The sequence below is a fragment of the Homo sapiens genome, chromosome 11 (assembly GCF_000001405.40).
Source record: "Homo sapiens chromosome 11, GRCh38.p14 Primary Assembly".
NCBI lineage: Eukaryota > Metazoa > Chordata > Mammalia > Primates > Hominidae > Homo > Homo sapiens.
In genome coordinates this window covers 85843642-85861138 of record NC_000011.10, presented here as the reverse complement: position 1 = coordinate 85861138, position 17497 = coordinate 85843642, and the positions used below count along the sequence as shown (strand labels likewise).

General features: G+C 43.6%; 2 protein-coding genes and 1 pseudogene across 16 annotated transcripts in view; 1 reads left to right on the top strand and 2 right to left on the bottom strand.

Annotated features, from left to right (window-relative positions):
• Positions 1–6073, bottom strand: part of CCDC83 (coiled-coil domain containing 83) — a 64948-nt gene extending 58875 nt beyond the window's left edge. For 7 of the 10 annotated variants that reach the window (NM_173556.5, XM_011544842.2, NM_001286159.2 and 4 more), the window contains exon 1: positions 5555–5756. The gene's annotated coding sequence lies outside the window, so the exon portion shown is untranslated. Of the gene's footprint in view, positions 1–4798; positions 4858–5387; positions 5475–5554; positions 5757–6003 lie in introns of those variants that run through there. The other 3 variants (XM_011544839.3, XM_011544840.3, XM_011544841.2) reach the window with 3 other exon arrangements.
• On the bottom strand, positions 1982–4138 carry AHCYP6 (adenosylhomocysteinase pseudogene 6; annotated as a pseudogene).
• Positions 6269–17497, top strand: part of SYTL2 (synaptotagmin like 2) — a 160642-nt gene continuing 149413 nt past the window's right edge. For 4 of the 6 annotated variants that reach the window (NM_001394468.1, NM_001394471.1, NM_001394462.1 and 1 more), the window contains exon 1: positions 6269–6443. The gene's annotated coding sequence lies outside the window, so the exon portion shown is untranslated. Of the gene's footprint in view, positions 6444–6948; positions 7280–17497 lie in introns of all 6 variants that reach the window. The other 2 variants (NM_001394472.1, NM_001394453.1) reach the window with 1 other exon arrangement.

The following is a 17497-nucleotide window of genomic DNA, read 5'->3' as shown; positions in this document are numbered from 1 at the left end:
CTATAAACCCTCATCTTGGGAATTCAAAAAGAGATGTTGTATCCTTTAATATTTAAATTCATCTTGAGAAGCCTCTTCTTATTGTCCTAACTAGTGATAAATAACCTCGCCTTGTGGCCCCACAATTTGTACTTTTTTTTTTCCCCACAATTTATGGCTTGTAATAGACAGTGTCTATTTTTCCCATCTTTGTGTTCATGTTTATTCAATGTTTAGCTTGCACTTATAGTGAGAACATGCAGTATTGCTTTTGGGTTCTTGCATTAGTTTGCTTAGGATAATGGCCTCCAGCTGCATCCATGTTGCTACAAAGGACACGATTTTGTTCTTTTTATGGCTGTGTAGCATTCCATGGTGTATGTGTACCACATTTTCTTTATCTAGTCCACCACTGATTAGCATCTTGGTTGATTTTATGTGTTTGCTACTGTGAACAGTGCTGCGATGAACATGAGTCCATGTGTCTGTTTCACAGAATGATTTATTTTCCTTAGGGTATATATCCAGTAGCGAGATTGCTGGGTTGAATGGTATTTCTGTTTTAAGTTCTTTGAGAAATCTTCACACTGCTTTCCACGTGTTCTTTAATACTCCCACCAGCAGTGTATAAGTGTTCCCTTTTCTGCTAAACCTCACCAGCATCTGTTGTTTTTTGTCTTTTTAATAATTACCATTGTGATTCCTGTGTGATAGTATCTTATCATGGTTTTGATCTGCATTTATCTAATGATTAGTGATGATGAGCATTTTTTCATATATTTGTTGGCCACATGTATGTTTTCTTTTGAAAAGTATCTGTTCATGTTCTTTGCCTTCTTTTTTTTTTTTTTTTTTTTTGAGACGGAGTCTCACTCTGTTGCCCAGGCTGGAGTGCAGTGGCACAATCTCGGCTCACTGCAACCTTTGCCTCCAGGGTTCAAGTGATTCTCCTGCCTCAGCCTCCCGAGTAGCTGGGACTACAGGCACGTGCCACCATGCCTGGCTAATTTATTTATTTATTTGTTTTGTATTTTTAGTAGAGTCGGGGTTTCACCGTGTTAGCCAGGACTATCTCGATCTCCTGACCTTGTGATCTGACTGCCTCAGCCTCCCAAAGTGCTGGGATTACAGGCGGGAGCCACCACACCCAGCCTGTCCTTCTCTTATTTTTAAATGGGGTTATTTGCTTTTTGTTTGCTGAATTAAGTTCCTTATAGATTCTGGATATTAGACCTTTGTTGGATGCATGGCTTGTGAATATTTTCTCCCATTCTGCAGGTTGTCTGTTTACTCTGTTGATAGTTTCTTTTGCTGTGCAGAAGCTCTTTAATTAGTCCCACTTGTCTATTTTTTGTTGTTGTTGCAGTTGCTTTTGGGAATTTAGTCATAAATTCTTTGCCAAGGCCAATGTCCAGAATGGTATTTCCTAGGTTTTCTTCTAGAGTGTTTGTTGTTTTAGGTCTTACATTTAAGTATTTAATTCATCTTGAGTTAATTTTTGTATGTGGTAAAAGGAAGGGGTCCAGTTTCAATCTTCCACATATGGCTAGCCAGTTATCCCAGCACCATTTATTGAATAGGGAGTTCTTTCCCCATTGTTTGTTATCATTGACTCTGTCACAAAACCAGTAGTTGTAGGTGTGTGGCTTTATTTCTGGGTCCTTTAACCTGTTCCATTAGTTTATATGTCTGTTTTTGTAACAGTACCATGTTGTTTGGGTTACTGTAGCCTTGTAATATAGTTTGAAGTTGGGTAGTGTGATTCCCCTGGCTTTGCTCTTATTGTTTGGGGTTGATTTGGTGATTAGGGCTCTGTTTTGGTTCCATATGAATTTTAGAATAGTTTTGTTTAATTCCATGAAAAATGACATTGAATGTTTTTCCATTTGTTTGTGTTCATCTCTGACTTATTTCAGCAGTGTTTTGAAATTCTCATTGTAGAACTCATTTACCTTCTTGGTAAGCTGTATTCCTAGGGGTTTTTTTTTTTTTTTTTTTTTTAAGGCACCAAGATTTTTATTTACCCACCTTCCTGCTTTTTATTTTTTTTTAACATAAACATTATGGACCAGATTATTCTCTTTTTGACCCAGGGTTGTGATAGGAATTATCTTGTTACAAAGTGGTAGCAGATCTATGCTTGCTTTTATGTTTTTATGGCCCCTCTCAACCTCTGGCTATCAATTCTCTGTCCTTTCTCAGTTGTCCCTTAACAGTCTATTCTAACTCCTATAAAACAGAGACTAAAAGTACCAACCTCATTGTTATGAGGTGGAAGAGAAGGCCCAGCACTAAGTCAGGCTCTCAGGAAAATTCAAACAACAGTTCCTCTTTGCCCTTCAATATAGCTGCTGCTTTTCTGTCATGGGCTGAGGTACCACTGAACCTGTGAACCAAGCACACAGGTATAAGTCCACAGACCGGGTGAATGCCTAGATGGTAAAGTATATGGGCTTTGTGACTCCATTACCAACTTCCAGGCTAAGGAAGGACTGACTTAGTGAGAAGTTCCAAGATCATTGAATTCATAGTTCCCTGTGGCTGTCTCCCTTGTACCCCTATCATGACCAAGGCTTGAGGAGGGGCCTCTCAATTCCCCCTGCCACACTTGGAACAGTATGAGGGATGCAGCAGAGGCCAAAAACTGAGTGACCAGCCCCAGGGAGTCAATAGGGGACACTGACAAACCAATCACAAAGTGGGTGCCATTTGCTCTTAGGGAGGAGAGGCAGGGCCTGGACAAGGACAGCAGTTGGAAGGCGAAGGGCAGGTCTGGCTTTCAGTAGTGGTAGTGATCTGGCTTGAAGGGGCCATCACGGGACAAGTACAGGTAATGGGCTTGCAGCTCAGTCAGCTTGGTCAATTTCACATTCAGCTTGCCCAGGTGGGCTTCAGCCATTGCCTCATTCAGCTTCTTGGGCAGGAAGAGAACCATAACCTGGTACTTGTCTGGGTGGGTCTGCAGCTCAGTCTGCGCCATCACTTGGTTGGTGAAGGAGTTACTTATCAAGAAGCTGAGGTGGCCCATGGCACAACCCAGGTTGACCAGCTGACCCTCAGCTAGCAGGATGATGTGGTGTGCATTCTTCAGCTGATACCAGTCCACCTGGGGCTTGATGTTGACTCTCTCCACAGTATTCTTGTTGAGCCACTTGACATCAATCTCCATGTCAAAGTGTCCAGTGTTACAAATGATGGCATCATCCTTCATCTGCTTAAAGTGCCAGCCAAGGATGATGTTAACACAGCCTGTGGTGGTGACAAAGATGTTGTCCTCCTGACAGGCCTCGTCTATGGTGGCCACCTCATAGCCCTTCATGGCAGCCTGCAGTATGTTGATGGGGTCGATCTTGATGATGATGACATGGGCCTGAAACCCCACAGGGCCTGGGCACAGCCTTTGCCCATGTCGCCACAGCCTGCTACCACTGCTACCTTGCTGGCAATCATCACGTCTGTGGCCCACTTGATGCTATCTATGAGGGACTCCTGGCAGCCGGAGAGGTTGTCAAACTTGCTCTTGGTGACGGAGTTGTTGACATTGATGGCAGGCACTTTCAGGATCCCATTGGCCATCATCTTGTGTAGCTTGTGGACCCCAATCATGGTCTCCTTGAAGATGCCTCACATCCCCGACAAGAGCTGTGGGTACTTGGTGTGGATGAGGTTGGTGGGGGCCCAAGCGACATCCAGAATCACGTTGAGGAGGCCGTCTTTGAAGTATAATGTCTGCTTGGTGCACCACAGGTACTCCTCCTCTGTTTCGCCCTTCCAGGCGTACAACTGGAATGCCAGCCTTGGCAATGGCAGCTGCCTCATGGTCCTGGGTGATGTTGCAGCTGGACCACTGCAGCTTGGCACCCAGGGTAATGAGGGTCTCAATGAGGATGGCCATCTCCATGGGTCCTATGGAGGCAACTGGTGATGCGCGTGCCCTTCGAGGGCTTGGAGGGTTGAGTACAGCTCCCACATGCACGTCAGGCCCGGCATCTGGTTCTCCACAATATCCAGGGCTTTGCATCCCCAGAAGTCCAGGCCAATGTCAGTGACTTTGTAGGGCAGTTTGTCAGACATGCTGGTGGTGCTTGTGATAGACATGGCTGAAGGGGCCCAAGCCTCGATCTGGGGACAGGCACTGGGGGTATGGCACTGGGCAGGGGGTTCCCAGGTAGTTTATTCGTTTTGTGGCTACTGCAAATGAGATTGCACAGAACACATGTTTAACTTAATTAGAAATGGTCTCCAGTAAATGTTTTTAAAAATCCTGAATTAATTTAAAGCCATTCAGTGGTAATAGTACCACCTAAAACATTAATTTTAAAAATTGAGACCGCTTTTCATATTGATTATGTATATATGATAGGGACCAAAATTGTTAGTGTTAAAATGTAAAATTTGCCCGGTTTGGAAATATGTTAAAATCATATATTAAAATCAAGGTATTTAAAAATATCTAGATGAGTGACATTTTCAAGTTTCACTTGGACGACTGATGATGTACATTACATTAGCATGTATTTTCTTCACCAATCCTTTAGTCATGGCACATTTTTCTACTGCAGTACCCAAAGATATTGGAGTCTTAGCTTTAAAATTAGTCCGTCTTCTGATCCAGAGTTGCTAATATCAAATAGTTTGAACTGCAGTATATTACACTAACTTCTCTAGTAACCAGAACTACATTTTTTTCCCACTCTTACTGTCCTTCAGTTTTAGAATTATCAACAAAGAAAAGAAAAATAACTATGAAAATATTATTATGAGGATAAGGGAAAAATATGCAATAATAATGGTAGAGAACAAAAAGGCTTCTTTCTACCTTCAAATAGCAGTAGTGAGTCTAAAGAGGATCTTCTGGAGGTGGCTGTAAGGCAATCCATGAGCAATTATCACATAGACTGATAAATACCCAGTCATTATTTTTCCCCTCTGTCATCACAGGAATCTTTCTTTTCCTTTTTTTTTTTTTTTTTTTGGCTTAGATAGGGCACTTTTTCCCATCTCTTAATCACTTCCTCAACTCTCTCTCTTGCCCAGCAGAAAATTATGGGATAAGGAAGGGAGTGAGGCAACAACATGGCACTGTACAAATGTGACAAATTCATAAAAGAAACCAAGTGTTTTCTTTAGAAGAATGTTGTAGTATCCAGAGCAAGAAGTTGAAACCAATCTATGAATTGGGATATGAGGGTAAAAGACATCAATAACACACTTAGCACATATGAAGTACCTACAGCGGAAGAGCATTGCGCTGGTATTGAGAAGGATGCAAGAGTATGTGAGGTCCTCAGAAAGCATTCACTAGACTCAGAATTTGGTGAGAGAGGCACTAAGAGAAGCAAGACCGAGCTTAGTCCCAGCTCCTGCACAGAGTTGTATAACCTAGGCCAAGTCTCTGAACCTCTGACCTGTTTCCTCCTCCATCTGTCCTAGTTGCTGTCCGGGCTATGAGGCTCCAAACGCTTTGGGAAAACTGTCAAGTGATAAAGCCTCATAAGAATGGAAGGCATTCTTAGTCTGCTCTGCGTCTGCTGTGTGCTAGGGGCTGTGTGAGGGCACCGTGAAGGTTACAAACCTGAATCAAATTCAGAGCCTGCCTTTCGAGAGGGCAAATAATGTATCCAGGGGTTCTACCGCAAGGCGGAGAGATGGGTTAACATTCTGATCAGATTAAAAAGGCCTGCCCTCCTTCTCATCTCCTGGGTGGAGAAGAGGAGTGGGCCTATCAGAGCCCTTCCCAGCAGCTCCTAACGGCCCAAGAACGGCGCTTCGTGGACAAGACCAGGAGGGCGCGACCCCCAGGCTGATCTCGAAGCGGCGCAAGCCCAGGCCCGTGGAGAGTGGAGCCCGTGGAGGGTGGTCGGGGGGAAGCTTATAAAGTCTTCAGTGTCAGACTGGAAGGAGTCGGGGGCCAAGAAAAGAGGCCAGCCAGTCTCCTGACATCCCCTCCACAGCCTGCAGGGGCGGATACCCGGCCCTGGGCGGACAGCTCGCACTTCCTTTCAGCCCGCCGGCCAGGCCTACCGGCTCCACTGCAGCGGCTGCTGCGCCCTGCATTTCCAAGGCAACCGACGTCCTCCTCCCTACTCCCTCCCCACCCGCCCTAGCTTAGCCGCGAACGGCGGGCCGAGCGCGCCATCTGGTGGCGACGCAGGGAAGGGTCCCGGCCGAGCGCCCGCGCCGCCGCCTTGGTAGCAGCGGTAGCGCTCTCCCGCCTTCCTCCGCGCGGGATTTTCGGCGTCCCTCAGCCAGCTGGTCTCAAACGCTCACGCGCTCGTTGGCTCCCTTTAGTCGCAAGCCTGGAAGTTGGTGACTGTAGACACAGGGCCCACGGGCTTCGTGCTGTGACCGTGAGCAGGTCATTTGGATCTCAGAGTTTGTGTCTTCCGCTGTAAAATGAGACGCCTGGACTCGGTGGCGCTTTCCGCACAGTTCGGGGGACGGGGACGGGGCCTGGTTGTCTGGTGAGGCTTCTGCGCGCCTCTGTCCCGCTGCGCTCCTTCCACAATGGCGGCTTGTCTTCTTTCTACTTTCGTGCACTAATTCTTTGGTTTTAGCTCTTAATAAGAATGGCAGGTCCCTGGACTAAATGCTTACAGGGCAACTTCCTGCTGTATAAGTCCTTGATTCTGTTTTTCTTCTCGCTTTCCTTTTTTGTTCGTAAACCTAAAGAAAGGAATTTAAGTCCAGCATTTCCCACTCTTCGCTTTTTGCTGTTCTTTCCTCCGAGAGAGAAAAAGAAAATCCTACACGTACAGCCTTTAAAGTTCCTCTTTCCTCTCCTGCATTATTTCTCATTATCTGCCGCAAGATAATTTTCTTTTTTTGGTACTTGACACTGGCTTTGAACGGACAACTTTTTTTTTTTTTAATGAGTGGAAATATTCATTTATTCAGCACTTAGAAATAACAGTTCTTGATAATATTATGATTTATAATTTATACATGGTGTATTTTAATGAATTGCAGGTGTTTAAGAAATAAGTAATATAGCAGGGCGCGGTGGCTCATGCTTGTAATCCCTCACGCCTACAATCCCTCACGCCTGTAATCTCAGCAGTTTGGGAGGCCGAGGTGGACAGATTGCTTGCGGTAAGGAGTTTGAGACCAGCGTAGGCAACATGGCGAAACCCCATCTCTACGAAAAATTAGCCAGGCATAGTGGTGAGTGCCTGTAGTCCCAGCTACTTCGGAGGTGGAGGCCGAAGAATTGCTTGAGCCTGGAAGGCTGAGATCTCAGTGAGCCGAGACTGCCACTGCACGGGTGACAGAGCGAGCCTCTGTCTCAAAGAAAGAAAGAGTATGTACCTGGATATGTATTTTTATTTTTATTTTTATTTTTTACAGCTTAACGAGATTTTTTTATTTTCCTGACTTTTTGCTTTGGAGAATTAGTCAGTAGTTAAGGTCTATCTTGTTCGTTTACTATGGGGTTTGAATTTGAGATGGGGCTGACGTCACTTTGGGGCCCTTTTCTTTTCTTCTTTTTTTTTTTTTTTTTTATTGATCATTCTTGGGTGTTTCTCGCAGAGGGGGATTTGGCAGGGTCATAGGACAATAGTGGAGGGAAGGTCAGCAGATAAACAAGTGAACAAAGGTCTCTGGTTTTCCTAGGCAGAGGACCCTGTGGCCTTCCGCAGTGTTTGTGTCCCTGGGTACTTGAGATTAGGGAGTGGTGATGACTCTTAAGGAGCATGCTGCCTTCAAGCATCTGTTTAACAAAGCCCATCTTGCACCGCCCTTAATCCATTTAACCCTGAGTGGACACAGCACATGTTTCAGAGAGCACCGGGTTGGGGGCAAGGTCATAGATCAACAGCATCCCAAGGCAGAAGAATCTTTCCTAGTACAGAACAAAATGGAGTCTCCTATGTCTACTTTTTTCTACTCAAGACACGGCAACAATCTGATTTCTCTATCTTTTCCCCACATTTCCCCCTTTTCTATTCCACAAAACCGCCATTGTCATCATGGCCTGTTCTCAATGAGCTGTTGGGTACGCCTCCCAGACGGGGTGGCGGCCGGGCAGAGGGGCTCCTCGCTTCCCAGAAGGGGCGGCCGGGCAGAGGCGCCCCCGACCTCCCGGACGGGGAGGCGGCCGGGCGGAGGCGCTCCTCACTTCCCAGACAGGGTGGCTGCCGGGCGCAGGGGCTCCTCACTTCTCAGACGGGGCGGCTGCTGGGCGGAGGGGCTCCTCACTTCTCAGACGGGGCGGCCGGGTAGAGACGCTCCTCACCTCCCAGACGGGGTCGCGGCCGGGCAGAGGTGCTCCTGACTTCCCAGACTGGGCAGGCGGGCAGAGGGGCTCCTCACATCCCAGACGATGGGCGGCCAGGCAGAAACACTCCTCACTTCCCAGACGGGGTGGCGGCCGGGCAGAGGCTGCAATCTTGGCACTTTGGGAGGCCAAGGGAGGCGGCTGGGAGGTGGAGGTTATAGCTAGCCGTGATCATGCCACTGCACTCCAGCCTGGGCAACATTGAGCACTGAGTGAACGAGACTCCGTCTGCAATCCCGGCACCTCGGGAGGCCGAGGCTGGCAGATCACTCGCGGTTAGGAGCTGGAGATCAGCCCAGCCAACACGTGAAACCCCGTCTCCACCAAAAAAAATACGAAAACCAGTCAGGTGTGGCGGTGCGCGCCTGCAACCGCAGGCACTCGGCAGGCTGAGGCGGGAGAATCAGGCAGGGAGGTTGCAGTGAGCCGAGATGGCAGCAGTACAGTCCAGCTTCCGCTGGGTATCAGAGGGAGACTGTGGATAGAGAGGGAGAGGGAGACCGTGGGGAGAGGGAGAGGGGGAGGGGGAGGCAGACAACTTTCTTTTACATCCTAGGAGCGTCTATGTCCTGGTAGTTACATTTCAGTCAATTACTTATCCTTTTGTCCCAGGAAGACAGAAATGAGGCCCCTTTAGGCTTCCCTGCTCCCTTCGTAAGTCACCTGTTTGGCATTCTTGAATTTGTTTTTTAAAAAATGGATTATCATATTTTTTATTCATGCTGTGTTATATTAATAACGTATTAAGAACTTGAAGGGAACTGAAGCAGTTAATAAAAATATTAAGCAGCTTTTGGTTAAAGGAGTTTTTCTCATCAGTAAAATATACAAAAATTAATCATTGTTAGAGATAACTTACGTGTTCCACCTCATTTTAACCTCCCTTTAGTCTATCAGTATTGTGTTTATTAAGTGCCAGGAATTTGCTATGATCTACACATCTGATAAATGTTCTTCTGTTAACCTGGTTTTCCCTAAAATAACATCATCAGATGGGATTATAGGATAAAATTATTAAGAGTGCAAATTCAGGAGAAAAAGCTACCAGCGGAAAATTTTTAAAGCATGGAGATTTTTTAGTTAAATAGAAAAGCAATTTGTGATTCTTCAGCACTTTGAATTGATTCCCACATCATTTGTTTTAAATCTTAGGCCTGCTTCTATTATGAGAGCCTGGGCCCATAGTGAAAAAATGTACTTTTACCTATCATTTATATCCTGCACAGTTTTTCTTATAGTGTTTACCAGTTGGTGGTCAGTGTGAAGCCAGATAAAAACCATTTGCTGAGTTTCCTCATTTGACCTTGATTTTCTGTTAGCCTTGCCATGTTGAATGATGTAGAAATAGACGTAGGAAAGTATCTATAGTAGAAGAAGCCAAATATGCTGTCTGTTTTTGGAAAAACCACAAAGAACCTGTTTGAGATGAGCAATTGCTAAACAGAAACAACTGCAGGGTCTTATTATTATTAAATCTCACAATAATTTGTAAAGACCCGAACTAGGAATGAACTTACTGCCTTTGCGAACCAGTTCAAACTTTTGGTAAATCAGACATTTTACCTACAGCAGTTACTTTTGAGAAATAGAAAATTTTTGCTACAACTTCCTGTCCAATAACTTTGTTCCTCACAAACTTGAAACAATTAAATAGATGTTTTGCAAAAATAAATAATCATGAACTAAAATATTCTCTTTTTTTTTTATTATACTTTCAGTTTTAGGGTACATGTGCACATGGTGCAGGTTAGATACATATGTATACATGTGCCATGCTGGTGCGCTGCACCCACTAACTCGTCATCTAGCATTAGGTATGTCTCCCGATGCTATCCCTCCCCCCTCCCCCCACCCCACCACAGTCCCCAGAGTGTGATATTCCCCTTCCTGTGTCCATGTGATCTCATTGTTCAGTTCCCACCTGTGAGTGAGAATATGCGGTGTTTGGTTTTTTGTTCTTGCGATAGTTTACTGAGAATGATGATTTCCAATTTCATCCATGTCCCTACAAAGGACATGAACTCATCATTTTTTATGGCTGCATAGTATTCCATGGTGTATATGTGCCACATTTTCTTAATCCAGTCTATCATTGTCGGACATTTGGGTTGGTTCCAAGTCTTTGCTATTGTGAATAATGCCGCAATAAACATACGTGTGCATGTGTCTTTATAGCAGCATGATTTATAGTCATTTGGGTATATACCCAGTAATGGAATGGCTGGGTCAAATGGTATTTCTAGTTCTAGATCCCTGAGGAATCGCCACACTGACTTCCACAATGGTTGAACTAGTTTACAGTCCCACCAACAGTGTAAAAGTGTTCCTATTTCTCCACATCCTCTCCAGCACCTGTTGTTTCCTGACTTTTTAATGATGGCCATTCTAACTGGTGTGAGATGGTATCTCATAGTGGTTTTGATTTGCATTTCTCTGATGGCCAGTGATGATGAGCATTTTTTCATGTGTTTTTTGGCTGCATAAATGTCTTCTTTTGAGAAGTGTGTGTTGATGTCCTTTGCCCGCTTTTTGATGGGGTTGTTTGTTTTTTTCTTGTAAATTTGTTGGAAGTTCTGGCCAGGGCAATTAGGCAGGAGAAGGAAATAAAGGGTATTCAATTAGGAAAAGAGGAAGTCAAATTGTCCCTGTTTGCAGACGACATGATTGTATATCTAGAAAACCCCATTGTCTCAGCCCAAAATCTCCTTAAGCTGATAAGCAACTTCAGCAAAGTCTCAGGATACAAAATCAATGTACAAAAATCACAAGCATTCTTATACACCAACAACAGACAAACAGAGAGCCAAATCGTGAGTGAACTCCCATTCACAATTGCTTCAAAGAGAATAAAATACCTAGGAATCCAACTTACAAGGGATGTGAAGGACCTCTTCAAGGAGAACTACAAACCACTGCTCAACGAAATAAAAGAGGATACAAACAAATGGGAGAACATTCCATGCTCATGGGTAGGAAGAATCAATATCGTGAAAATGGCCATACTGCCCAAGGTAATTTACAGATTCAATGCCATCCCCATCAAGCTACCAATGACTTTCTTCACAGAATTGGAAAAAACTACTTTAAAGTTCATATGGAACCAAAAAAGAGCCCGCATCGCCAAGTCAATCCTAAGCCAAAAGAACAAAGCTGGAGGCATCACCCTACCTGACTTCAAACTATACTACAAGGCTACAGTAACCAAAACAGCATGGTACTGGTACCAAAACAGAGATATAGATCAATGGAACAGAACAGAGCCCTCAGAAATAACGCCGCATATCTACAACTATCTGATCTTTGACAAACCTGAGAAAAACAAGCAATGGGGAAAGGATTCCCTATTTAATGGTGCTGGGAAAACTGGCTAGCCGTATGTAGAAAGCTGAAACTTGATCCCTTCCTTACACCTTATACAAAAATCAATTCAAGATGGATTAAAGACTTAAACGTTAGACCTAAAACCATAAAAACCCTAGAAGAAAACCTAGGCATTACCATTCAGGACACAGGCATGGGCAAGGACTTCATGTCCAAAACACCAAAAGCAACGGCAACAAAAGACAAAATTGACAAATGGGATCTAATTAAACTAAAGAGCTTCTGCACAGCAAAAGAAACTACCATCAGAGTGAACAGGCAGCCTCCAAAATGGGAGAAAATTTTCACAACCTACTCATCTGACAAAGGGCTAATATCCAGAATCTACAATGAACTCAAACAAATTTACAAGAAAATATTCTCTTAAGAGGAAGAAAGTATATGCTACCTTTAAGAAGGAGATTGTTTTAACCCAACGTCCATTGTCACGTTGCAATATTGTATTATAAAATGGGATGGTGTCTCACTGTTTATAAGGGTCATATTTTTTCACTTTAAGCCAGAGGCACATACCTGCAGTTCACTTTTTTTTCTTTGTCTCTCCAAACCAAGTTTAACTTAAATAACCAGAATTCTGGCAAAAAGATACCACATGTCTTTTTTTTCCTTCTTACTTCGTCTGCCTAATTAATGTTTGAAATTACTCTTATGATCTCTTTGTTTTCTCAGATATAAGAGGAGCCCAGGACAGTAAGCTGGAGCCAGGGTTTCTTATCCCAGGAACCTGGACTATATGATTTGAATTGTGCCTGAGGGCTTTAGCATGTGACATCACAAGAGTATTTAGCAACAATGAATTGCTGCCTGCTTGCTATAGTTTTAAAATATGAACACAAAAGGACAAACATATAGACCAATAGAATATAACAAAAAATCAAGAAACATACTTGTACATATAGGATCAATTGCTTCAGACAAAATTGTAAAAGTAACTCGATAAGCAAAGCATAATCTTTTGAACAAATGTGACTGTAACTATTGGATATCTATTTGGAAAAAAAAAATGAAGCTTCACTCAGACCAAAAACCATACAAAAAATTAACTCAAAATGAATCATAAAGGTGAAAACTATAAAATTTCTAGAATAAGACAAAAAATCTTTTTGACTTTGCATCAGCCAAGTGTTATATAGGACACAAAAAACATGATTCAAAAAAGAAAAAAAGAACTTGAACTTCATCAAATTTAAATTTAAAATATCTGCTCTTGAGGGTTTGGTTTTTTTTTTTTCTTTTTTCTTTTTTTGGTTTGTTTGTTTTTTGAGTCAGGGTCTTGCTCTGTCACCAGGCTGGAATGCAGCAGTATGGAAATGGCTCGTTGTAGCCTCAAACTCTCAAGCTTAAGTGATCCTCCTGCCTCAGCCTACCAAGTAGCTGGGACCACAGGCACGTGCCACCATGCTCAACTGATTTTTTAGTTTTTTATTTTATTTTTTGTAGAGATGGGGGTCTTGTCTTGTTGCCTAGGCTGGTCTCAAACACCCAACCTGAGGCGATTCTCCCGCCTTAGCCTCCCAAAGTGCTGGGATCATAGGTGTGAGCCACCATGCCCAGGCTGTTCTTTAGTTTTAAGAAGATGAAAAGGCAAGCCACAGTCTGGAAGAAAACGTTTGCAATACATATACCTGCCAGAAGACTGGGATCTAGAATTTATAAATAATTCCTCAAGCTCAATAGGAAAAAAACCAACTAATTACAAATGCCAAAAGATTTGAATAGATGCTCCAAAAAATAGATATATTCATGGCCAATTGGCACATGAAAAGATGCTCAATATCATTAGTTATCAGGCAAATGCAAATTGAAACCACAGTGAGATACTACTACACACCTACTGGAATGGCTAACCCTAAAAGACTGACAATACCATGTGTTGGCAAGGATGTGGAGTAACTGGAACTTTCATATATTCCTGATGGAAAAACAAAATTGTGCAACCATTTTGGAAAACAGTTTAGCAGTCTCTTATAAGGTTAAACACATATACTGTATGACCCAGCAAACCCACTCTTAGATATTTATTCAAGACAAATGAAAATGAATGTTCATAGCTGCTTGTAATACTACTTAATAAAAAAAGGAATGTTGCCAGCACTTAGGAATGAAAAAAAAAAGGGTGGGGGGAATAACTATTGATACATGCAACAACCTGGATGGGTCTCAAAAGAATTGAGCTAAGTGAAGAAGCCAAGTGTGAAAACTATATGCTGTATCATATGAAATTCTAGAAAAGCCTGGAAGCAGATCAGTGATGGCCCTGAGCTCAGGGGCTGGGGTGTGGGATTGACTGCAAGGGGGCAGGAGAGTACTTGCCGGAATAAAGGAAATGCTCTGTATCTTGATTGTGGTGGTGGTTACAAGGGTGTATAGATTTGTTAAAACCCATTGAACTATATATTTAAAATGGGTACATTTTATTGTATATAAATTGTACTTTAACAAAGTTAATTTTTTTAAAATGGTTTCAGGCTGGGCACGGTGGCTCATGCCTGTAATCTCAGCGCTTCGGGAGGCCGAGGCAGGTGGATCACCTGAGGTCAGGAGTTTGAGACCAGCCTGACCAACATAGTGACACCCCATCTCTACTGAAAATACAAAATTAGCTGGGTGTGGTGGTGCATGCCTGTAAATCCCAGCTACTTGGGAGGCTGAGGTAGGAGAATCGCTTGAACCCGAGAGGCGGAGGTTGCAGTGAGGCGAGACTGTGCCACTGCACACTCCAGCCTGGGCGACAGCGAGACTCCATCTCAAAAAAAAAAAAAAAAATAGTTTCAACCTGGGCGTGGTGACTCACCTCTGTAATCCCAGCACTTTGGGAGGCTGAGGTGCGTGGATCACCTAAGGTCAGGAGTTTGAGACCAGCCTGACCAACATGGTGAAACTGCATCTCTACTAAAAATTCAAAATTAGCTGGGTGTGGTGGTGCACACCTGTAATCCCAGCTACTTGGGAAGTTGAGGCAGGAGAATCGCTTGGACCTGGAAGCAGAGGGTACAGTGAGCTGAATTTGCACCATTGTACTCCAGCCTGGGTAACAAGAGCAAAACTCTGTCTCAAAAAAACAAAACGAAATGAAACAACAACAAAATAAATAAAGGTTTCATATTCTTTAACACTCCTCTCTTCAAGAGGTGGCATCTCTGTTCCCTCTCCTTGAATCTGGTGGTCTTATGACTACTGTAAGCAAGAGAGTATGGAAATGACTCTGTGTTACTTCTGAGGCTAGGTTATAAAAAGTCATGCAGCTTCCCCATGGTTCTTTTGGGATACTTGCTCTAGAGGAAGCCAGCTGCCATGTAAGAAGTCTATCTCCTATGAGACAACCATGCTGGAGAGGCTGAGTATAGGTACTGTGGTCCACCATTCTAGCTGACCCCACCTTATAACCCACAAAGTGCCAGACATGTGAACAAAGTCATCTTGGACTGTCCCAGCTGGCCCATCCATCCTCTAAGTATAGCTGAGTTAATCTCAGTTGAAGCCACAGGAGCGAGAGATCACCAATTACTAACCTACAGGATCTGTGAGCTGTAATAAAGTGGTGGTGGTTTTATGTTATTTATTTATTTTATTATTATTTTTTTTTGAGACAGAGTCTTGCTCTGTTGCCCAGGCTGAGTGCAGTGGCACGATCTTGGCTCACTGCAAGCTCCACCTCCCAGGTTCACGCCATTCTCCTGCCTCAGCCTCCCAAGTAGCTGGGACTACAGGTGCCTGCCACCATGCCCGGCTAATTTTTGTGTGTGTGTGTGTATTAGTAGAGACCAGGTTTCACTGTGCTAGCCAGGATGGTCTCGATCTCCTGACCTCGTGATCCGCCCACCTCGGCCTCCCAAAGTGCTGGGATTACAGGTGTGAGCCACCACGCCTGGCCTATTTTATTTATTTTTAATTTTTTTTTGTAGAGACCAGGTCTCTCTGTGTTGCCCAGGCTCACCTTGAACTCCTAGGCTCAAGTGATCCTCCCGCCTCAGTCTCCCAAAGTGTTGGGATTACAGGCATGAGCCACTGCACCCAGCCCAGGTTGTTGTTTTAAACTAATTAGTTTTGTTAGTGTATTAGTTGTCTATTATTGCACAACAAATTACTCCAAAATTTAGCAATTCAAGACAATAATAATCATTTATTATCTCCCAGTTTCTGTGGATCAGGAATTTGGGAGCAACTTCATTGGGCAGTTGTAGCTTGTTGTAACTCATGAGGTCAGATGTTGGACAGATTCTATCTCTGCCTGAAGGAGTTCTCATTTTAGGGGAAGTGATGAGCAATCAAGTTATTCTGCAATTATAAAACAGTTGGATACTTTCCAGAAAAGGGGTAAAAGCAAGGTGCTGTGGAAAACCTAATCCAGTCTTGAGAGTCAGGGAAAATTTTCCAGAGGAATTGAGATCTAAATTAAAACTTGACAATGAGCAGGAACTTGACAATGTGCAGGAAGACTGGAACATTGAGTGGGAGGGCCTGGGACAGAGGGCATTGCAAACACAAAGCCCTAGAGGTAAAAACGAAAATGATGAGTTTCTAATGGAGCAGAAGAGATTACCATGGTTGGATAATAGGCTCCCAGGGATAGGAGAGAAGTGAGACAGGAGGCTGGAGAAGCAAGTAGGGACAAATCATGGCGGGTCCTCTGAGCCATACAGAAGATTACAGGCTCTGTGATGATGACAGAAGTTCACTCTGGCAAGTGTAGAGGAGGCTGGGAACAGGCAGGACAGGGTCAGGTTCCAGAATGAGTTCCACTGACCACAGTTTCAATCTTTCTTTTGCCTAAGGGTCACTCACTTGGTTCCAGTTTCTGGTCCAAGGAGCTTGTCTCAGGCTCTGCCCTTTGCAAGATTGCAGTGACTGGCAAAAAGAATGACCTCATCTCTTTGGCTCAAGTTATCAGCTTGCCTAATCTCTGAAGTCTTCTATGACTCAGGTGAGATGCCCACCTCCACACCAGGAAGTAGTCTATGAAACTACTATTACCACACCACCAGAGAATATGTGGAGTAACACTACCTCACATCTGGAGAATGAGGCAGTATACATTCTAACTTCCATATTTTAAGAACTGTGTTTATGGAAAGGAAAATAAAATGACATTTTCAGGAATATGTACCAATATTAGCAAACCCAAGGTACTGTGCTCCATTTTTAAATAAGGGAATAATAAGGTTGTGAATTACTCCCTACACGCTTCATATGGTTTTGAGGACATACTATTTTACCCTTTATACAGCACACTAGCTAAGAACACCCACTGCCAGAAGACCACTTTCTTATTCTATGTAAATGAAATGTCTACAAAAGGCAAATTTACTGAGACAGAAATTGAGAGGCTTCAGCTAGGGCTTACACGATAGAGTCACCAACAGGGGGACTGCTTGGAGAGGAGGCTGTCCAAGTGAAGCCATCAACAGTTGAAAGGGGTATTGCAGAGAAGAATATTCTTTGACCCTGAAATTGAAAAATCCTTCTTCTATCGAATGCCCCTGACTTTGGGAACTACCCACTGAGGCATCTGGTGAGACTGAGAGATATACTTTCTGTAACCACACTTTGTTGATGCTTATTTTGTTTAAGAACATGAACTTGGGGTCAGTTCAGGGTTCTGAAGCTGCTTACTAGTTGTGTGACCTTGGATGAGTTACTCTACCTTTCTGTGTCTCAATTTCCTTATCTATAAAATGGACATAATATTGCATACTTCTCAGGGCTGTTCTGAAGATTACTGGGTACAATTCCTGGCACATAGTAGGTTCTCAATAAATGTTAATTCTTCCTTGTAGCCTTTTAACTGTTATGTGAGAATGCTGGAAAGTAGGAGAATGTGAAACTTTTCTGTGTCACATTTCCCATGTAACCAGAGAG